At 42.6% G+C, this 24,122-nt stretch overlaps 1 protein-coding gene across 4 annotated transcripts in view, besides 1 other annotated feature; it reads right to left on the reverse strand.

Moving 5' to 3' along the window:
* CNKSR3 (CNKSR family member 3) overlaps nt 1–24,122 on the reverse strand; it is a 123,171-nt gene that overhangs the window by 58,316 nt on the left and 40,733 nt on the right. For all 4 annotated transcript variants that reach the window (NM_173515.4, NM_001368117.1, NM_001368116.1 and 1 more), the window contains exon 2: nt 4,265–4,428. In NM_173515.4, coding sequence (NP_775786.2) covers nt 4,265–4,428 — 164 coding nt within the window. The remainder of the gene's footprint in view (nt 1–4,264; nt 4,429–24,122) is intronic.
* Nucleotides 16,625–16,919: a silencer, noted in NCBI's record as "tiled region #5073; HepG2 Repressive non-DNase unmatched - State 14:Gen5', and K562 Repressive DNase matched - State 8:EnhW". NCBI's record gives its function as "represses a minimal TATA promoter and a strong SV40 promoter by Sharpr-MPRA in HepG2 and K562 cells {active_cell/tissue: HepG2 | K562}" and the evidence as "EXISTENCE:reporter gene assay evidence [ECO:0000049][PMID:27701403]".

Raw genomic sequence — 24,122 nt, forward strand, 5'->3', positions numbered from 1 at the left:
AGAAGGAAGGAGGAGAAGAAGAAAGGAAAGTTCCTTCCCTTCGACCCCATTCCACATTAAAGAGAGAACAAGAAACTGATTATAGTAGCTCTAAAGAACCTCTACTGTAGAAGCATAATCAGGAAAGGATTATTGACTTAAGTGCCCCATAAAGACCGAAAATAAATAATTTCTCAGACCAGATTAATTATTTTCACCAGTCTTTTCCCCAAAACTTGTCTCCTTCAGAAACTGCTTTGAGATAAAGCATCAAAAAGATACAAATTAAGTAACACAATGAGTTTCTGAAAATCTGTTCACCTACTAAAACCCTTCCACTGAGATCTCACTTCCTAGGGTTCACCATCCGGGATCCTTTCCTGATCTGGCTAGAGAAACCATACACTAAATGGGAGAAAAGGAAAGCAAAAAGTCTTAAAATTATACACATTTAGCTAAGGACACACCTTACACAACTTCTTCTCTACCATCTTCTCCATTCCTACTAGCTCTGTTCGTGATCTAACGTGTGATTAAGGTGTGCCAGAGACACAAAATCAAAGCCATCTTATTGACTTGGGTCAATTAAGAGACAACCTAAGAAATATAGTTCACAATTTTCCTAAGGCATTTTTAAATAAGCTCATAAGCAAGATCAAGTTAAATACAACTTGCCAGCAAAAATTCCTGTTCCTGCATTTCTTCTCATAAAAAAGATAACATGTTTAAATGATTTGCCTTGGGTGAATAATAAACAACAAATAATCTCAGAGGTATACCAGTGCGCATAAGCACTCTAGGCCCATAGATTCATGACAGGTACTTCATTTAACCCCAAGTCTAGGTAGCATCATTTAACACATGCATCAATTCCAACTCTGTTCATTTCTCAACCTCCTTCAACCTTCAAAACACAGCTGCCCATGCCTTGGTGTTCAGTAAACTAGGGCCTCACTGACTTGGCAAAGAACACAGGTTACAGTCATACTTATCTTTTTTTTTTTTTTTTTTTTGAGATGGTGTCTCACTCTGTCGCCCAGGCTGGAGCGCAGTGGCATGATCTCGGCTCACTGCAAGCTCCACCTCCTGGGTTCACGCCATTCTCCTGCCTCAGCCTCCCAAGTAGCTGGGACTACAGGCACCCGCTACCACACCCAGCTAATTTTTTGTATTTTTAGTAAAGACAGTGTTTCACCATGTTAGCCAGGATGGTCTCGATATCCTGACCTTGTGATCCGCCTGCCTCGGCCTCCCAAAGTGCTGAGATTACAGGCGTGATGGGATTACAGGTGTAAGCCATTGCACCCGGCCACAGTCATACTTATCCTTATTGGTTATTCTTACTGGTTATTCTCAATCACACCCTCTCGACCAGTACTGGCCAACAGAACTCTATGCACAGATGAAAATGTTCTTTATCTGTGCTGTCCAATATCGTAGCCACTAGCCACATGGAGCTTCTGAGTACTTGAAGTGTTGCTAGTACAACCGAGGAACTGAATTTTTTTTTTATTTTAGTTGATTTTCATTTAGACAGTCACATTGGGTAACAGCTATCCTACTGAAAAGAGCAGCTCTATAATCGGTCTCAGGTACCCTCTACCCAGAGAGAGGAAGAAAAATTGGGTACAGATTCTAATTCAATCTGGGAAAGTGGTCCTGGTCTCATCATATAATACAAATCACTCTCCTAAGCCACGACTGCCAGCCAAAGTCAATGTTCACAAAAGATGGTTTCTCTCATTGCTCTCTAACCATGACCAGCTAATTTGTGAGCCACTGCTCACCAGTTTTGGAATCTTCATTAATAGCTGTTTCCTATTTTAGGTTCCTGCCCATCTATCTGCCCCTCTCCTTACATTGATACTTTCCAGTGGTTTTGTTTCTCCCCTCCCCCTTCCTTACTTTTAATTATATTCATTTCCTGTCTATCATAAAATCAACATCCACTAAACTAAGTTTACATAGAAACCTCTTTTATAACACCAAGGCCAACTGCATTTACACATTAACTGCCCTGGAGATGTTCTGTTCAAAGCATCACCAATTTATATATCCAAAGATCTATATGCTATAAATGGATTAAAAAGACAGTATAATTAGTATATGAATTATAATAAGAATATTCAAAAAGGAGATTATATCCAGACTAAAGACATTTTAGTAAAACTCACTAAAATAATCCACACTCTTTTGTGAACCCCTAAGTGACCCCCCCTGTCCAATGTAGTCACTGGCACAGAGCAGGTCCAGAATGAGTCTGAGGTCAAAGCTTGGTCTACAAAGGAAATTAGAAGGAAATTGTAGGAGATAAAACACAGCTTTAGGTTCTGGCATTTGTCCAGCTTTGTTCATTTTAGCCTAATGCTCTAAGAGGTAGAGAAGAGGAAAAAGCAAAGAGAATGCCCAGAGGCAGCTGTTACGTTTATCATCCCACTTGATGCATGTGATGCGTCTCTAGCTGACCCTTCCTGCCTCTCTTACTTTGGATTTCCAAGTAAATTTACCTGTCCTCAAAGTATTACTGCAAAGTGAAAGAGACAATTTGCAAAACATCAAGCAGAAAAGACGGAAAAGCCATGTTCCCAGAAAGTATAATAAAAGTAAACTCAAACACGTTTGTACAAAAAAAAAAAAAAAAGAAAATACAGTTTCGGTAATAAACAGGATGCTTAGATGTCTGGGCAGTGCAAAACACACAATAGTACACAGCCACATCTAAGGTGAGCGTTACTGTACAGATGGGAAAAACAGACATCACCATTTCCCCAGAGGTCACAGAGGGAGTAGCATGTAGCAGAGCCAGGATTAGAATGCAAATTCCTGCTTCCCAGACCCGTGCTCAGACTACTTGGCCATAGCGTCTCCCAGGCGGCAGCTCATTTATCAACTACAAATAATTTCCCCATTACTTTCCTAAACAAGAGCAGCACATCTCAGAGCAGAAGACAAGGCTCTGTCCATTTTAAGAAGAAGAATACACACAATGCAGCAAGTGTTATATAATCAACAGTACGCAGACCAGCGACGGCAAAATCATCAGCAGCACATTCTTTCCCACCATTCTCAGTGATGTAATTGTATATACCCCTGGCTGGGGTTCAGGGCATTACTAACCCAGCCTGAATGCTGTCGAGTTTGTCCAAATCCTGACAGTTAAGTAAACTGCATCTTTAGCCTGGCACCGGGACAGGCAGACTTGAATCCCACCCACACTAACCAATTTATAAACAAAATGTCCTTACAGGTGTTTTTGGCCCACACCTAACGAAGCTACCCATGTGATTCTAGTGTCAGGACCCAGCAGGATTTTACTCATTCATGTTAAAGCCAAAACCCATCATCTACAAAATGTAATGAAGGCCACATTTTTTTCCCATTTTATAGGTCATGTCAAGTGCAAATATCAGTTATTTAAATATCACAAATATCTGTGAAACTCAACCGCTTTTTATAGTAACAAAATCAGACATGAAAATCAGAACCTATTTCTCACTTCAATTTAGAAGATGACATTTTCTTTTCTTTTTTGAGACAGGTTCTCACTCTGTCACCCAGGCTAGAGTGCAGTGGTGCGATCTCTGCTCACTGCAGCCTCCACCTCCCAGGCTCAGGTGATTCTCTGACCTCAGCCTCCTGAATATCTGCGACTATAGGTGCGTGCTAGCCACACCTGGCTAACTTTTGGTATTTCTAATAGAGACAGGGTTTTGCTACGTTGCCCAGGCTGGTCTCAAACTCCTGGACTCAAGCAATCCACCCGCCTCGGCCTCCCAGAGTGCTGGGATTATAGGCATGAGCCACTGCGCCTCGCCAGAAGGTGACATTTTCATTCAGGAGTATTTCCATCATTTTTTCCTTATAAAAGAAAATTAGACTAATACAGAGATTTTCTGAAAAAGACAAACTCTTTCTGTAAAGGACAAGTTAATAAATATTTTAGGCTTTGGGGGAACCATGTGGTCCCGTTACAACCACTCAATTCTGTCACTGTCGCAAGAAAGCAGTCACAAACACGTAAGTGAATGGACATGGTTGTGTTCCTATAAAACTTTATTTACAAAAATAGATAGTGGGCCAGATTTAACTCGCAGGCCATAGTTTGCCAACCTTTAATGTAGAAAATAACTTATTTTTCCCCTTCCTATAGTATCTTCAGCTCATGTTTTATTTTGATGGAGCATTAAGGAAAGAGTGATATGCTAAATCACAAACAATGACGGCTTAAGAGAGCAAGGCTCTAAAGAACGTCATCACGGTACAGACCGTCTTTTCCTGAACTAACCAGTGCACAGAGAAGGTCCACAGCCTCCAACACAAGCTCCTGGTGTCCAATCCGTGTGACCCCCAGCTCCTCCAGGTCCTGATGGGAAATCTGCAGCAGCTGCTCGCCGTTGATCTTCTCTCGTTCAAACTTGTGGACATATTGTTGCAGGCAGTCATCCAACCCTGCCAAAAACAATCAGAAGTCCCATTATTGCCATTTTGTTCCTTTACCCACCCCCTGCAAACTGCCCACATGTCACATCAATCTCAGCAATCAACAATTATGATGCCACTATCTGGTTATCTATGTGAGGCCTATTGCACCTGATGGGCACTTTTGCATGACATGTCAAACAGGTTTTCAAGGGCAGCTTAACATTCTCAAGTGATCCAACAGAATTTTATGATAGTTACCTTCTCATTCCCTGTAAACTAAAGGAATAAACACCAAACCCCTGTTGACTTAAAATGCTAATTATCTAGACCAGACATGCTGTCTGTTTGCTAAGCAACCCTTCTTTTGGGACATCATCCCTCCCATCCCACGTAATCCCAGGGAGCTTGCCAGTCAAGACGCCTTGCCACAGTGGGTGGCACATGGCCAGGTCTCCCGTAGTGCTCTATACACCAGCCAGTCACAGGTTTAGGGATGGACATGTGACTCAAGCAGAACCAATCAGAATCTTCCTTGATATTTGATATATGGACACAAGAACTGAGAAGCTCTTTCTTACTTTCCAATCAGAAGTCAAAAGATAAACCTTGGCAATGCTGGCAGTCATTTTTCTCATCAGTTTTCTGAGAATAAATCCATTTGAGAAAGAGAGAGAGAAAATGCCCCCAATAATATCCTATATGCCCCTGGATCTAACCTTGCTTAATAAAGATACTTCTAGCCCTAGAATATTTCACTTAAGTTTAAATAAGTTTTCTTTTTAGATTAAGCTTGTTTGTGTCGAATCTCTGTCCCTTGCAACTGAAAAAGTTCTTATAAATACAGACTATAAAGGAGACAGGTATCAGCAGTGGTACCACATAGAAAGGCATGGTAAATGGGTTCGCTTACGGGAATTTTTCCAGGTCAAACACTATGGCCAAAAGTGCCGTATTTTAATGCTTGTATATAATGACTAAAACGAGTAAGCCAAATAGAACTTGAGAATTCTTATTCCTGTACAGAGAACTTGTTTTAATAATTTTACTGGAATAACATTTTACCCTGAATCAATTGATCTATTGAAGCCTAATAATAAAAGTCACCTTAGTGTTTTAAAAGACTTAGTGATTTAAAAGTGTTTTAAAAGTTATATAAACTCAATCCTAACACAAAGAGTGAACACTCAATTTAACGGGAAAAGTATGTAGAAAGCATGCTGCTGCCCCTCCCCACCAAACGCGCACACACACACACGCACACACGCATACATGCACACACACGCGCACACTCGTGCACACACGCACACGCACAGATGCACACACACATTTATTTCATTTAATCCTCACAAAACCTGTGTCAGTGGGTATTTCTCTGAGCTAGAAAAGGCCCAGCACTTACTTTTTGTAATACTAAAGTCTATGGATATTATAATCTGATGTGTGAGGCTAAACTACATCTCTGCCCTGCAAATGTTCACCATTTGCCTCCTAATAAGATACAGGAAGAAGAGTAGTTTTCTGATAACCATTTGGGGCTATTAAATATAGGAAGAGGAAGTAATAAAAAAAACTATGGTAACCATTTGGAACCCAACTCATCCTCCCTGAAATGACATCTGTCTAGCCCAGGGGCTAGACATTACGCAGCAAGTGAGGCTGGGGATACTGATATAAACCCAGCTCCGCTCTGACAGCCTTGAGCTACAGGTGGCCTTCGTGGCACGCGAGTCAGGCAGGCAGTGGAGGCCAGGCAAGTCGACAGGTGTTGAGACCAACACCCTACCTGGGCTGCAAATGCAACCTCAGCACCAGGACACTCAGAGTCAATCGTCTGCGGGGGAGGCAGTATCTATCTGTAGCAGGCAACCATGACAAGGGACAAGATTGAAGGACAGCCTCCTAACTATTTTGTTGATGAAAGAATTAAGGCTCACGGAGGATACATAACCTGTCCACAGTCATACAGCTGGTCAGATGCCAAGAGAAGGGCTGATGCACCCATCATCAAGGGTCTGTTGGACACAGCCTCGCTCTTCTGCATTTTCTCGCAAACACGAGATTATAACCCAGGATTATAAAAATTCTTCTCCAACAACTTCTTAAATCAACAGTAAGGTCTAACAACAAGACAGTTATTAAAATAGAATTACAGAATCTTAGAGACACTTAAAAGGCATTTCAGATCTCACTGAGTACAAAAAATTGAGAAAGCACAGACAAAACAGAAATTACTGTGAAGTTTACCCAGAATCACTTAGCCAGTTCTAAGCCTGATCATGATTTTCTCTTCTCTCTTGGGACGCTGTCTTCCCTAGCCTACTTTTAAGCTTTAAAAAGAATTTTTTGTTTTAATTCATCATACAAGTTTAGGACAACTATGTTATACATTTCAAGCCTGTTATGGCTAAACTGTGTCCCCACAAAATTCATATGTTACAGTCCCTGGAATGTATTTGGAGAGAGAATCCCTAAAGAAGGAATTAAGTTCAAATGACATCGTTAAGGTGGGCTCAATCCATATGACTCGTGTCCTTATTAGAAGAGGAGATAACGACACAGACACACACAGAAGAAAGATACGTGAAGACACGGAAAAGACGGTCATTGTAAACCAAGGAGAGAGGCCTCAGAAGAAACCTACCCTGCTGACACCTCGATCTCAGACTTCTAGCCTCCAAAATGGTGATGAGATAAATTTCTGTTGTTCCGGCCTCCCAGTCTATGGAACTTTGTTATGGCAGCCGAAGCAACATAATACAAATACAATAACATTTCCTTTCATATTAATCCACACGTGATGGACTGTCTTAAACAAGGCCCAGTCAGGTGATGTTTACTGTGCTGAACAAGCTCACTGCTCATAATACAAAGCATTAACACTGAGAGATTCACATTCGTTTTCATGTACAGCATAAATCAGTTCATTAAAACTAAAGTGAAAAAGTATATTGGATGTTCCTTAAGCTTCATTCCTGAATGCTAAGGAGAAACATAAAGATGAGGCCAGATCATTTCTCTTTTAACGAACCGAAAAATTCACAGAAGGAGTAGGATTTCAGAAGTAGCTTTAGAACAGTAAGGAAATGTTTGGAGCACTGAAAAGGCTGAGATGGGAGGAATGGTGAGAGTTCTAGACAGTATGCAGGCAACAAATGATTAGAGATTGAGAATTGAAGAATACAGAGCATTTCTCTGAGAAACTAACCAGAATCTCCTTGAGGATTATGAGAGAATAGAAGCATTGTAACCTCAAATAATCACAAGTTCCCTGAGATGTAGAATTATCAAGCAGAAAAATCACGTTACTGCCCACATAAGAATAGAATGTATTGTAGCCTGAAGACTTTGTCCTCAAGGCACACATATATTGAATATGCTAGGTTTTAAATAGTGTCACCCCCCAGAGTTTTATTATTCCAATACATTATGACCTATTGTTCGGCAGTCCTATTGTTTAGAATACAATTAAACATTTATAAACAGCTAAATTAAACTATTACGCAGTCCCACAAAGGAGGGAAAAGCCTCAATTTCTAGTAAACTGATCTAACAGTCTTAGAATTTGCAATAAACCATATTCTTTTACTTATTTGTCAGATGGATCTATCTGCCAGTTTCTTGCTTCAAGCAATTTACAGAAAGTCTAGCAGGACCAAGAGAAACACACAATTCAGTAAAATTAGATTAAACACATTCCATTTATACAAATTAAACACATAATTAAATGTGAAGGAAAAAGAGAAGAAATTCTCACAGAAAGGGAGCCACAGGGCCCAGACCTACTCTACTGTCATGAAATCTGGCTGCATATAATCCTAAACCTTCAAGGAAATCCCAAATGCAAGATGAAAACACACACACACACACACACACAGAGAGAGAGAGAGAGAGAGAGAGAGAGAGAGAGAGAGAGATAAGAGCCCGCAATCCAATACCAGTCTCCCTTCTTACTGACCGGGTAACCTGGAGCAAGTTACTCAGCTGTCTCATTTGTAAAATGAGAATACTAATACTACCCACTACATAGAACTGTAATGAAAATTTAATGTTAATGTTTATAAAGAACTTAAAACACCATGGAACACACAGTAAATACTCTGTAAATTTAGTTAAATTTTAAAATGTGATTTATTCAGGTCCTCAATTTTCTAAATGTTCAGAATAAAAGTTGCTGGCTGGGCATGCTGGCTTACTCCTATAATTCTAGCACTTTGGGAGGCCAAGGCAAAAGGACTGCTTGAGGCCAGAAGTTTGAGACCAGCCTGGACAACATAGCAAGACCCCATCTCTATTAACAGAAAAAATTTGTTGTTTGTTTGTTTGAGACAGGGTCTCACTGCAGCATAGCAGCACGATCATAGCTCACTGCAGCCTTGAATACCTGGGCTCAAGTGATGATCCTGCCTTAGCCTCCCAAGTAGCTGGGACTACAGGTGTGTGCCACCACACCCAACTAATTTTTCATTTTTTTGTAGAAACGAGGTCTCCCTATGTTGCCCAGGCTGGTCTTGAACTCCTGGGCTCAAGCTGTTCTCCTGCCTTAGCCTCCCAAAGTGCTAGGATTACAAGTGTGAGCCACTATACCTGGCAGAAAAAAAAAAAATAATAATAAAATTTTTGAAAGAGAATAAAAGTTGCTAAAGAGACACAGAAACTCCCAAATGCTTAGATGGCTATGTTATTACCTTTCCCAGAACGTGTTCCCAAATGTGAGAGCCTGCAATCATCATTGGTTTCACCTAAAAAATTTTTATGATTTATATCAGAACGTAAGCATCACAAAAGCAGTGACTTTGGACGGGCACAGTGGCTCACATCTGTAATCCCAGCACTTTGGGAGGCCAAGGAGGGTGTATCACTTGAGGTCAGGAGTTCGAGACGAGGCCTGGCCAACATGGTGAAACCCCATCTCTACTAAAAATACAAAAAAAAAAAAAATTAGCCAGGCGTGGTGGCAGGCACCTGTAATCCCAGCTACTCGGGATGTTGAGGCAGAAGAATCAGTTGAACCTGGGAGGCAGAGGTTGCAGTGAGCCGAGATCATGCCATTGCACTCCAGCCTCCATCTCAAAAAACCAAAAAAAAAATAGTGATTTTGTTTTGTTCACTACTTCCTCCACTGGTGTGGAGAACATTGCTGGTGTTCAATAAATATTTGTAAAATAAACACATGAGGCAAGAAGAAAGACAAAGAGCTCCACATAAATATTAATATCACACCAATGCACAGAAGTCATCTGCTTTTATTTTCTTTCCTTTTTTTTTTTCAGACAGAGTTTCTTTCACTCTTGTCAATTCTCCTGCCTCAGCCTCCCAAGTAGCTGGGATTATAGGCACCCGCCAACACGTCCAGCTAATTTTTGTATTTTTAGTAGAGACAGGGTTTCACCATGTTGGCCAGGCTGGTCTCGAACTCCTGACCTCAAGCAATCCACCTGCCTCGACCTCCCAAAGTGCCAGGATTATAGGCATAAGCCAACATGCCTGGCCTGCTTTTATTTTCTTATACAAATAAGCAACTAAACTATTGATTGTGATATCAGTTACAGATATTTGCTGCACATTTCAACATTTCAAGATTAAAGGAGGTCATTTCTGCACAAAGAGAAATATCATAAACAAAATAAAACTCCAAGCCTCTCAGTATCAGTCTTTGACAAGATACCTGCCTTGTACTAAGAATTTTTATTAATTAATTAATCTCCCCTAAGTGTAGAAAGGATTATATACATGAAGACTAAGAAGTTAGAGTAAATGCCCCAATGCAAAAAAAAACAAACAAAAAACAAAACAACAACAACAAAAAACTATGGCTATTCTCATTTTCTGTAAAAGAGTAAAATCAGATGATGAACTAGGTCCCAGAAAGCAAATGGTCATCATGACCACTTTAGTGGAAAGTGTCCCACAGACCACACCTTCTGTGGCTTTGCTTCCAGCTTAGCAAGCTCAAGTTGGCAGAAGCTACAATTCTTCAAATACAGGAGCCCAGAGTGGTTCTTCCAATGTTTTGCATTGAGTACTCTCACCTGAGTTGGGTTTTGTGCTTTCAGGTTGTTTTTTGTTTTCTGGGTTTTTGTTTTGTTTTGTTTTGTTTTTTTAATGATTAAATTCAGAAATCAGTTTAGCTAAAGCTTGTAGACTCTCATCTCACTCAAGACTTTTAAGAATCACAAGTGACATGTGCCAGGCGCGGTGGCTCACGTCTGTGATCCCAGCACTTTGAGAGGCCAAGGAGGGTGGATCACTTGAGGTCAGGAGTTCGAGACGAGCCTGGCCAACATGGTGAAACACCATCTCTACTAAAAATACAAAAAAAAAAAAAAATAGCTGGGCTTGGTGGTGGGCCCCTGTATTCTCAGCTACTCAGGATGCTGAGGCAGGAGAATCAGTTGAACCTGGGAGATGGAGGTTGCAGTGAGCTGAGAACATGCCATTGCACTCCAGCCTAGGTGACAAGAATGAAACTCTGTCTCAAAAAAAAAAAAAAAAAAAAAAAAAAAAGTGACATGTGATGCAAAAATTTGCTCCAACAGGATTTTGGTAGACTATGCTCTTCCACGAGGAGAATCATCACAGACTCACACAAATTCAATTTAATTCAACAAACTTTAGGAAGCAACTACTATATGTAAGATACTCTCTACTGGAAATCGACCTCCATTACAAAGGAGACGGGGTTCAGGGGTAGGTCAGCTTATTATTATCTGAACCAGAGGGACGGAAACAGGATTTGGGGGGTACATTTACACCTGACCACAATATTCTCAGAATTCCCAATACTTTGAAAAACATTAAATGGTAAAGACCTGACATCAAAGCTCCTTAGCCTTCCCGACTTACTGACACCACTGGCCAGTATATTATAACTTCCCCCAAACATGACATGTTGCTAAGAACAAAAAGACAGCTTTCAAACAGAAGCGTGACATGTTTTGGCTTCTATGTGAGCGTAGTATGATTAATGGAGGGAGCAAGGCTGATGTCAGGGCATGCCAAAAGCCAGAAAGGTGGTCTACTGGTAGGCCTCCGAGTGCCCTTTCGTGAGATGAGTCACCCAGTTACATCACTTGGAAATGCCTTTCTTCTGTCGCTCGTTTTGTTGATGTCTGTAGGCCTTAATTTTCAGGACTAGTTGATAAAGAGTTGATTTAAATATAGCAATTTGAGGTTGTTCAATAATACTATGTTTGAAACCCAGCAGTGGGCCAGATGCAGGGGCTCACACCTGTAATTCCAGCACTTTGGGAGGCCAAGGTGGGTGGATCACCTGAGGTCAGGAGTTCGAGAACAGCCTGGCCAACATAGTGAAACCCTGTCTCTACTAAAAATGCAAACAGCCGGGCGTGGTGGCCTGTAATCCCAGCTACAGGCGTTCTCTGCATTCTGTTCTGTCATTTGTCTCTGCAGAGTATCCCTTCACCATGTCCCCTTCTGCTCGTGGTCACTGTCACAGCTGAACTTATGTCTTGCCCGGATTTCTGCAATAACCTAGAAAGTGGTGGCCATGCTCACTCCCTTCTTCCTCTTAATTCATCCTCTATCATTCCATCTGAGCAAAACCATCCTGTCCTTTACAGATCCCAGTCCATTAGCTCAACACAGCATCTCAAGTCCTTTGGGACCCGTCCTCTTCCAAACCTCCCTGCAGTCCCATCATCCTGTAACTCACCCTACTGGTGAGGACACAGTAAGCACCTGTTCTGCTGAGTTTCTCCAAAAGTAACAAAAATGTCACGCACAGGTTGGCAAAAACAGCACCCAGGCCAAATCCTGCCAGCTGCCTGTTTCTGCAAACAAAGTCTGAATGGAACACGGCCATGACTCCTTGGTTTACAGATTGCCTCTGGCTGCTTTTGTACTACAATGGCAGAGTTGAATAGCTGTGATAGAGACGTATGGCTCTCCCACAGAGCCTAAAATATTTACTACCTGGCCCAGGTTTACAGGCCCTTGGTATAACTGACAGCAGCGATGAGTACAGAGTGATGATGACCTCTGCCGACCAGAAAAATAGACTCCACCAGTCTAGTCTGGAATTAAGGGAATGTGAGTTTTTCTTTTTTTGTTGTATTTTTTAAGGAATCATTTCATACAGTTACACTGAATTTAAAACCATAGAAAATGCTCCCCCCTCCCCTAATGAAAGACCTGAATGTTTTAGGAGGTTCCTTACAACTTTTGAGCCACTTTATTATTTTCTTTTTGTCAGTTCTCTTGAGGCATAATTTATAGACATTAAAAGTCACCAATTTCCAGGGTACAACTCAGTGAGCTTGGACAAACAGGCAGTCATTCAACCACACTACAATCATGATAGAAACATTCCTATCACCCCCAAAAAAAGTTCCCTCGGGCCCCTTTGCTGCCTACTCCCTCCCTACAGCCCCGTCCCCAGCTGCCACTAATCTGATTTCTACCTAAATGAGCCCAATTTCTCCTCCTGGCTGTACTCCCTGTCCTGCCCCAGTAACACTGGCTAACTCACTTAGTTCTGGTTCTCAGGCTTCCCATCAGTGGATTAGCAGGCTTCCATTAGAACTGACACCCACGCACACTACTAATTGCAGCTCTGATTTTATCAGTCATCCTTCGAGGTTTGTGGTTAAATTTAATTTGAAGAACGGGGACCATGATGAAACATAATGTCTGAAAACTGGATTGGAAAGCTGCCGTGCTTCTTTCAGGTCTAAAGATCCATAGTTCCAACATATGTTTGAGCTACTCAGAAGTTACCTTTACTTACAAGAGCAGAGAATGAAAAAGGAAATAAGCTGCCCAGAAACTTAAGTCCTAAATATCCTCAAAGCTACAAAAGAAAGAAAAAGAAAGAAAGAAGAAAAAAAGAAAGAGAAAGAAGAAAAAGAAAGAGAGAAAGAAAGAAAGAGAAGAAAAAGAGAGAGAAAGAAAGAAAGAAAGAAAGGAAAGAAAGAAAGACTAGCAAATGAATGAACTTGGTCTTGAAAAAAACCATATAAAGACGATGCATGTAAGTCGGGTTTTGACCCTGATCAGAGCTGTGAGCTGGAACTGCTGCTCCCTTGGAAGCAGGGGCCCTGTGAAATCCAAACACATAATAAAGATCCAACCACCAAGAACCCTGGGAAGCCCAACTTACAACCAGCAAAGTTCTTTCACTTTGTTTCTGAAATGGAATGACTGATTTTGAGGATAAGGGACACCCCACTGGCCATTTTTTGGGGTACCAAGCTGAAAGAACAGTAATGCAGAAGAGAAAATAAAAGTTTAGACTCTTACCCATTTGGGAAAAGCTGATCTACACATTGCTGAAGAGCTACCAAATACGTAGTAATGAGCCCACAGCTTCAATTTCTTACAAAAGGCAAAAACAGGTGGAATGGAAGGACAGTCAACCCTAAAGCGCTTTCTTGTTCCCAAAGCAAACTCAACTTTCTTGTTAGTAACCAATGTTCTCTAAGACTTAGGTCACCCTGAAGACATCGGAAGACGTAACCAACGAACAACCACACTTTGAGTTTCACAACATAAGTAGAAGACATATTATTTAAACAAAATTTGGAACTAGCAAACACATCCATGCCAGGATAATTTAAGAAAGTAAAAATAGAAGGAATACCTTAGCTCAAGGATTCAAGTTAACCAGAAAACAACAGTCAGACGGGCTGCCCTCATTTGAGGTTTCTGAATGGGTAAGTAATGTGTCCCAGCTGAAAACTTTAACCAGGAACCTCTGGCTCTCAAGTTGTAGGGCTCCCAAGCCTACGCTGCCTCAACCCCAACCCCAACAGATTCTGTACAACTTCTGACGACTGTGAAATGGACCCAGCCTGCCCCCACCCCCTCCTGGGACCCTGAGCTGCTGAAAAAAGTCTAGCCATGGAGGGAGAAGCACCCAGAGCAGGGACAGGCGAAAGAACAGAAGTTGGTATTATCTGAAAGGATTTTTGGAGGGAGAAGTTTATGCTGATCTAAATCACAAAAAAAGAACCGACATGCAAATCTTAAGTCAACTGAAGAGATCATCAGAATTCAGAATATAATGGCAGCCCTCAATATTCTCCTTTGAGTCCTCCTTCTTTGCTCCTCCCTCAAAAAACAATGTATGAGGAGCTTGAAAGATAATACTGAGGGCAGGGAAGAAACACAACATTGACTTATATGTTTGAAGGTGTGTGTGCGTGCATGTGTGTGTAAAAGCATATACCTATATCTCACAGCAGACATTAAAAATGCAAAATGAGAGACTCTAAAGACAAAAACACAACTGTGGGGATGAACACAAAACCTACGCAATACTCTGGTAAACATGTACTTTCCAAGGTTGTTTGTTGTAATTCAGTAACCACACCATTGTATCCAATTTTGTAACAGACCTTGGACCAAACAAGGGGAGGGGAGGGGAAGAGAGAAGCCACATATGAAACAGAAGAAAGGAATGCATTTTACCCAGGAAGCTGTACTTTTTGCCTCCTCTAGTGCAGCCTACTTTGCCAAAACCGTAAATTCGATTTGGTCTAAAAACCAAACACCGGCAAAACTATCCTCAGTTCATGCTTACGCTGAATGAAGGGTAGAATTAACTAGCTCCCCTGCCACACAGCAAGTTTATGTTTTTAGCACGGGGGAGAACCAACTCGGCACAGAGACATGCAGTGGCCGCGACAGCTGCACCCATTGCTTGAGTGTCAAGTTGGGCGAGTTCTACCGTATGGAGGTGAGCACATCCATCACTTCTGCTCCACCTGAGCCATCAGGATTTCCATGGAAAAACCATTCAGCCAACCCTCTCCCAACACTGCCATCATCATTTCAAAGTGCGTGGTCCAAACAGCCAGGTCTTGTATTAAATTAAAACCCCGCATGAATAGGGGGCGGCTTGATTTACAAAGTTCCCACCCACACAGTGGCTCATGGATCCCTGCAGTGACCCCACGGAGGGTGCTGGCCGGGTTATCATCATCTCCAGTTTATTGGTAAGGAAAGCAAATCCCAGAGACTATCAGGAAAAAGGCAAAGCTAAGACAGAACCCGGACCTCAACTGGGCACCTAGATCCTTGTGGGGTCTGAGGTGGTCAATGAAGAAATAAGTGGAGGGGAAGACAGTTAAGTACGTTAATGTGCAGAGTCCATTACTGAGTACTTACTATGTTTTTGGCACCACGGGATGCATTGTGGAAATGGCATAATTTATAGTTGCTGTTCAAGTAGCTGAAGATTAAACAATTGTAAAATAAGCAAGAAGAAGCTCTGCACCAACTATACAGGCCAGGAGAAACAGTATGGCCTGTGGAGCCAGAAGGCCTGGATTCAGCTCTACCACTTCCCAGCTGTGTGACCTTGTGCAAATTACTTAACCTCTCTGTGCCTCACTTTCCTCATCTACAAAATGGAGAGGACAGCAGTCCCTATACCTCATGGGATTAACTGGATGATTAAATGTGTTAAAATGTGTAAATGAGTTAATATTCTTAAAGCACTTACAAAAATTACCAGGTATATAGTAAGCGCTACTATTTAAAAAATAAAAGAAACTGGGGCTCAGCTTATAAGTAACTGGCCTAAAGTCACACAACCAATAATAGGCAGAGTCAGGATTTAAAGCCATTTCCCAGAATTGTGAAAGGAGAGCATGAACCCAGCATGGGCTTGCGAGATTTGGAGGTTTGATGGCAGGAATCTCATATTATCCGCAACCGATGCCTTTTACTTCCTGAAGTGGCAGGAGTTGGAGGCAGGAAGGGGTGCTCCAATACAAGGAGGCTGGAAAAGGGCCGAAACGGCTGGGGACAGCCGCCTGGGACAATGGAGCAGGTTTGCCAGGCAGCATTAAAGTCTTTCTAAAATGTTTTAATAGCAGCTTTATTGAGACATAATACATATACCATACAATTCGCCTATTTAAAGTAAACAATTCAGCAGGTTTTAGAATATCCACAGAGCTGTGCAACCCTAACCACAATCAATTTTAGAATTTTTAACACCCCCTCACCAAAGAAAATTCTGTACCCATTAGAAGTCCCTCCCCCCGAAATTATACAATAACGTTGTATAAGTTCCCCCCACCCTGTCAGTATTCTTTCCGGTGAACCTGTCTGACCCTCAACCCTAAGCAACTACTAGTCTACTTTCTGTCTCTATGGATTTGCCTGGATGTTTCACATAATGGATCCTGCACATTTCACATAAACAGAATCATACAGTATGTGGTTTTGTGTGATTGGCTTCTTTCACTTAGTATCAAGTTTTTGAGGTTCCTTAAAGCCTTCTTAATGCACAACTTCAATGCTCTTCCCTTGCTCCAAGCCCTACTGGCTTCCCACTGCACTGGGGATAAAATCTACAGCCAAAAAGGTCCAGTGTGATCTTCCTGAAGGCATCTCCATCTCCGGCCACATTCTCCCCTAACCACTATGCTGGATGCTGGCCAAGCACCTCGGGCTCCTATCTCGAGGCCTTTCCCTGTGAGGTCCCATCTACCTAGAATGGCTCAGTCTCAGCTCCCTTCACATCTGCAGGGAGGCTTCAGCTGGCCACGGTATATGAAGGAGCCCAGCATTCTGTTATTCGCTGTGCCCTTCACAAGCCTTTCCAAACCTGTGACTGTTTATGTGTTCATTATGCTGCAGCGAGCCCCCTGCCTCCCGCCACAGAGGGCCAGGACCATGCATGGCCGCATTATTTACCATTTCGCCACCTGCACTGCCCAGCACAGAGGAAGCACTTTGGGATTGGTTGAATGAAAGAGAAAAAAAGGAAGGAAAAGTCCAGCTGAGGTTGAAGACTGCAGTTTGGAGATGCATAAATCAATAAAGTTGTACAATTTCCCCCCACCCTGTCAGTATTCTTTCCGGTGAACCTGTCTGACCCTCATCTTCTCACCTTTTTCTTTTTTTCTTTCCTTTTTTTTTTTTTTTTGAGACGGAGTCTCGCTCTGTCGCCCAGGTTGGAGTGCAGTGGCACAATCTCGGCCTCAGCCTCCCGAGTAGCTGGGACTACAGGCGCCCACCACCACGCCCGGCTAATTTTTTGTATTTTTAGTAGAGACAGGTTTTCACCGTGTTAGCCAGGATGGTCTTGAGATATCTCCTGACCTTGTGATCGGCCCGCCTCGGCCTCCCAAAGTGCTAGGATTACAGGCGTGAGCCACCGCGCCCGGCTTCACCTTTCTTTCATATATACATCACCAAATATTTATTATGCAACCCACTGGCACATGGGCTGGGGGTATTCACCGTGGGAAATGAGAAAAAGGAGATCCCAATCCTGCAGCCTGCAGTACGGCAGGGGAAGAATCCTTCGAGTTCTTCAACACAAAATTCCCACAAGTTTGCTATGCTCGCGGCTTCACGGGATGCCAGCCCTGGTTACCAGAATGACTTAACTGAAGCTTTCTCTTGTTCTCCAGAAAACCCAGTTTTCACTACACTCTAGGGGCCAAGACAACATTTCCCAGATCCTATGCTGCTTGATATGAATCTCTAGGGTCCTCTCATCTTACAGAGTCACCTTTTTGCTGTGCTGAGGGAAGAGTATCTAGGCCTCTGGCTCTGGCTCTCATGAGCTAAGTGACCTCAATCAGATCACTTGGCTTCTTCACTGCAGTGTAAAATGCAGGAGCTGGGAAGGTGACCCTGTGGTTCCCACTGGCCCTGCGTTGCTATGATTCTGTACTTCTTAAGGTGCTGTGTTTTTTCCCATCATCAAACTAATCAGGCACCACCTTCATGCCAAACCCCCGATAGCAGAAAGTCCTCTAATAGCAAAGCCAGCTCCCATCAACAGGGCAGGAATTGGCACTATTTGTGTACAGTTAACTGACATGTGCAAAAGTAGTGTTTCTGAGGTTAATACATGATAAGATCATACGAGGCCAGAATTAAGAGAAGAACTGTAAAGCACTGTTATACTTCTTGGTTTTGTTTCATGCTTAATAAAACAGTTGTGTGCATCGTGCATCTGATATACAGAAAACCAGATCCTGGGTTGGCTCAGCTGGGACTGACTGTTAGGGTGGAGGGTGAAAGCCTCCCTGTGATCACTGCACATTGTCACAGCAGGGACAGCAGTGTCCCCTCTGCTGTCCTTCCCAGAGAGGGCAAGAGCAGGCAATGCCACTGAGGTTCTCAAAAGGAAAAAAAATTCTACTCTCGGAAACATTCACACTAACATACAATTCACATCGTGGATTTAAGCAGCACGTTAAAGAAAGACAAAGGCCTGGGCGGGGTGCAGTGACTCACACCTGTAATCCCAGCCCTTTGGGAGGCCGAGGCCTGCGGAACATGAGGTCAGGAGATCGAGACCATCCTGGCCAACATGGTGAAACCCCATCTCTACTAAAATACAAAAAATTAGCCATGCGTTGTGGTTGCTCACCTGTAATCCCAGCTACTCGGGAGGCTGAGGCAGGGGAATCGCTTGAACCCGAGAGGTGGAGGTTGCAGTGAGCCGAGATTGCACCACTGCACTCCAGCCTGGCGACAGAGCAAGACTCTGTCTCAGAAAAAAAAAAGGAAAAAGAAAAAAGAAAAAAAGAAAGTCAAAGGCCTTAGTGAGCCATAAAGCCCAGGCCACCAGTGCGCTCTCAAGAGGGACGTCATGGCATAGGAGGGAGAGAGCAGGGGAAAACTTCAAAGTGGTCTGTGGGCCCAGCACTGTGGCTCACACCTGTAATCCCAGCACTTTGGGAAGCCAAGGTGGGTGGATCAAGAGGTCAGGAGTTCGAGACCAGCCTGGCCAACATGGTGAAACCCCATCTCTACTAAAGATACAAAAAATTAGCCGAGTATGGTGGCAGGCACCTGTAATCCCAGCTACTCGGGAGGCTGAGGCAGGAAAATTGCTTGAACCTGGGAGGCGGAGGTTGCAGTGAGCTGCGATCGTGCCATTGCACTCCAGCCTGGGCAACTGGGCAAGATTCTGTCTCAAAAAAAAAAAAAAAAAAAAAAAAGGGGGTCTGTGTTTGGTGAATGAATACAAGAGTTTCCATCTTCAGATCTGCAAAATTGACAGCTTAAATAAAATTCTAAAGTCTTTAATGCAAAATACAATAGGGTCGATCTATCTTACCAAATATTATGGTTAAGAAGAACTCAAATTTCCTCTAATATTCAAAAGAATCTACTAAAATTTGGGAAAATGCACATATAAAATTACACGTATAATTACAGAAAACAGGTAAATGTCACTTTCTGCATGGCAGGTGCTTTCTAAGACTTAATATATATATATATAACCCCTTAAGTCTCCTAGCATCCCCTCATATGTGTACTATAACTGTCCCACCTGGAGCTGAGGAACTGAGGCACCCAGAGGGAGGTGACTTGCTCACAGCCTCGCCGAGCCTGGCTCACACCAGGGGACTCACATTCTCACTGCCAGATGCTACCCCCATCCTCCAACACAGAAACGTTCACAGATGTCTCTTTAGCTGATCTCTGGAAAGTACAGTTTTATATAACAGGAAATTATACACATCATTTAAGCTAACTTAGCTTACTGTCTGTGACTGCCATCAGAAATGTTCATGGCCATGTAGATATAAATGGCTCTCCCACCTGGATGGGTCAGACGAGAAAATACTTTTAACTTAAAGACATTATCAGAAGCCAGTATGTGATGAGTTGGGTAGCCCAAGTTTCTAAATAACACTCAAAAATACAGGTGAGGGGGATTCTGTATATTCTTTCTAGGAAATCTGGATGGAATTCTTTTCTAGGGCTTTCATGTTTGAATGTATCTCTAGAAACTGGCCCTCCAGGCTGGTAGTGACCTAAGCAGCCATATGCAACTGACTGCCTCCAAAGGATGAAACACTTGTGGAATTCACAAACTCTCTACCTATATGTTCCAAATTTATTTTGAAAAAACTTTAGAAAATGGCAAGTTATCCCTTGCTGGAACCAAATAACAATATGGTACTTTAGGCTGTGTACTTCAAGTTTTCTGTGTGCCATTCACATTTCAGAAATAGACAAAAGCAGGGAGAGAGAAACAGTACTACAGAAAGAGAAAATGTCAAGTAGTTGTCAGCACAGGTCACCATGTACCTGTATATCCTAAGGGCTCCAGAAACAAAATACCTGTCTAGTGGCTTGTAAGTAGAGAAGGGCCAGTTCCCTTGGCTCATGTACGGACTTGTGTTTCACCACAAAAACAAAAACAAAGGAAGCGCCTGCCCCACAGAAACACGCACAAGCATGAGCAGCAATACTGGCAACATTTTGGAAATATTGTAAACCCTGACTGAGGGTTCACACTCCCAGAGTCCAGGACCCAGCCTTGGCCCTTATGGAAACAACTAGGTGATCCCTTAAAGAAAACATGTTGGGGATGGGGGGATGTGGGGAGGGGAAGGATGAGTGAAAAAAGACCTCTTGAGCTATTGTCCTCCAATTGCTTTTTTGGTTTTTGCTTTGTTTTTGAGACAGGGTCTAGCTCTGTCGCTCAGGCTAGAGTGCAGTGGCGCAATCATAGCTCACTGCAGCCTCCACCTCCCAGGCTCAAATGATCCTCCTGCCTCATCCTCCCGAGTAGCTGGGGCTACAGGTGCACACCATCACGCCCAGCTAATTTTTTTGTTTTTTTTTTTTATAGAGACAGGGTCTCGATATGTTGTCCAGGCTTGCTCAAACTCCTGGGCTCAAGTGATCCACCCACCTGAGCCTCCTAAAGTCCTGGGATTAGAGGAGTGAGCTCAGCCCACCTGTATTTTTTTATGGAAGAGAAGAAAATGTGGGAGTACCACTCCAAGGAAGAGAGCTAAGCAAAGAGAAAACAAACAGGACAGGCAGGCAGGAGGCAGCAAAGAGGGAGGCAAAACTTTGGGGAAGAGGAAAAGCAGATTAGATGGCCACTGTTTCCAGTTAGAGCCCTCAAATGGCCTCCACAGCCATTCCCAAGAGCAGTCTTTAAGTAAAACAACAGCTACTGAAACCTTTCCCATGGAACCACCGACCGCATCCTCCCCAGATACCCACCGGGAGTAGAGATACTTTAATCACCTCCATCCCTCATGGCCCGTTTCTTGTTTTGGAGAGGCACGGCACTGCCAACAATATAAAAGCTTTCTGCTTGGGCGTCCTAAAAGAATGACACTTTCCCCAAAACAAAGAATTTATTCCATCTAAACCAACTTATATTTATTTAGCCAGGACATACATCAACTAGATGCTACTACTATGTAACACTCCCTCATGGAGGGCTTACAGATGCCTTCAGGGGTTCTCACTATACACACTGTCAACAGGTGGTCCTGAAGAGCACCAACAACTGGAGATGCCATCTTCTGCTTACGATCGCCACAGCTGTTTAGTGACTTAAGCAAGAAGCATAGGTCATATTCGTAAGAGGTAACTCCTTGAAGTGATTTTGCACAAGGCTTATGCCTTGATGGGAAAATCACACATTAGAATGACAGTCTTCTATTGAAAAATAAGTATTTAATTTCAAGTTTATTTTCATAACATTTTACTTATATACATATACCATATAACTATGTAAAGTATGTGGTTAGACCCATTATAAATATATATATATATATCATTTTTGTTTGTCTGTTTTGAGATGGAGTCTCGCTCTTGTCGCCCAGGCTGGAGTACAATGGTGCAATTTCGGCTCACTGCAACCTCCGCCTCCTGGGTTCAAGTGATTCTCCTGCCTCAGCTTCCTGAGTAGCTGGGATTACAGGTGCCCACTACCACGCCCGGCTAATTTTTGTACTTTTAGTAGAGACAGAGTTTTGTCATTTTGACCAGGCTGGTCTCGAACTCCTGACCTCAGGTGATTTGCCTGCCTCAGCCTCCCAAAGTGCTGGGATTACAGGCATGAGCCACCACGCCTAGGCTTTTTTTTTTTCTTTTTTTTCTTTTTTTTTTTTTTGAGACAGGGTCTTACTCTGTCGCCCAGGCTGGAGTACAGTGGTTCGATCTTGGCTCACTGCAGCCTCCACCTCTTGGGTTCAAGCAACTCTCCTGCCTCAGCCTCCTCCCAAGCAGCCAGGATTATAAGCAGGCACCACCACACCCAGCTAATTTTTGTACTTTTAGTAGAAATGAGGTTTCATCATGTTGGCCAGGCTGGTCTTGAACTCTTGGCCTCAAGCAGTCCACCCTCCTTGATCTCCCACAGGGCTGGAATTACAGGCATGAGCCACTGCACCCAGCCCATATATATTTTATACACACACACACACACACACACACACACACACACACACACCATGACCATCTAACCTAAAAAAGTCCACCTTTGTATCACAGTCACTTCTATCATACTGCCTTTTAAATTTTTTCCTTCTGAAGACAACACTTTTTGAAATTACCGACTCTATTAGGATAATGGCTTCCTGTCTGTCACCTCCTCTAAAACATCTGCACCGTAGAATTAGGGATCTCATCTGTCTTATTACCTGCAGTATCTTCTCCACCTCCTAGAACAGATTCTAGGAGGCACTTAGTAAATAACTACTGAATGAATGAAGAACGAACGCCTCCCCACACACCAAAGCAACAGGAAGCCATTATGGAAAAATTCAAATATAGCGGACACAGAGTCAGACAACTTGGGCTTAAGAACCAGCTTGACTTCCTGATTTCCTCTCTGTGTACAGAAGTTGCTTAATCCCTAGACCTCAGTTTCCTCAGCTTTATACTAAGATAGGGTGGGCATAATGGCTCATGCCTGTAATCCCAGCACTTTGGGAGGCTAAAGTGGGAGGATCGCTTGAGCCCAGGACTTAGAGGCTGCAGTGAGCTAAGATCGTGCCACTGCACTCCAGCCTGGCCAACAGAGCAAGGCCTCATCTCTAAATAAATAAATAAAGTAAGAAAATAACGAAGTACTGTGTTTGACAGTTCTTTGCAAATTAAAGAGTACTTTATTATTGCTGTTAATGACATCTTGAGTCAATATTTATACTGGCATCAAAGAAAAAATTCATTAGCATAAATCCTTAAATAAGCAAGTTAATCTGGCAAGACTGAACTTTCTCATCTTCAACCCCATTTTGCAACTGATTGGCTACCTCTCAAGTGCGTGATAGTTTGTTTACAAATAATAGTAGAAAGAAAGTATAAAGACCAGGGTTCAGGCCCCTACTCTACCACCCAACTTTAAGCCCTCCTCCCCCATCATCATCGCATATGAATAATAAATATATGAATAATCCAGAGACCTCAGAGTGCTACTGTGAAGATAAAAACCTAGTATTACACTTTGTCCAGCCAGTTGGAGCTTGCTCATGTCAGCCTACAATAGGATTTTGGCACCAAAGGCTACGTGGGCACCATCAGGAAAAGCACCATCCTATTAAACAGTGGGACGATGACACCAGTCCCATTCCATTGGCAACGCTAGACAACACCTCCACAAAAAGCCTTCTATCACCAGTCCTATGTTCTTTTGCTACCAGATCTTTCTTATTAAGATGTAATTCATGTACCATAAAATTTTCTCTTTTAAAGTGTACAATTCAGTGGATTTTAGTATTTCCACAAGGTTATGCAACAATCACCACTATCTACAGCTGACCCTTGAACTAACTTGGGGTTAGGCATGCCAACCCCCTCATAGTAAAAAATCCATGTGTAACATTTGACTTTCCCAAAGCTTAACTGCTAATAGCCTACTGTTGACCAGAAGTTTTACAGATAACATAAAGTCTATTAACACACAGATTTATATCTACATATATTTTATGCATTCATGACATACCTTTTTCTTAATTTTTTCTGATATT

This window comes from Homo sapiens, chromosome 6 (genome assembly GCF_000001405.40).
Source record: "Homo sapiens chromosome 6, GRCh38.p14 Primary Assembly".
NCBI lineage: Eukaryota > Metazoa > Chordata > Mammalia > Primates > Hominidae > Homo > Homo sapiens.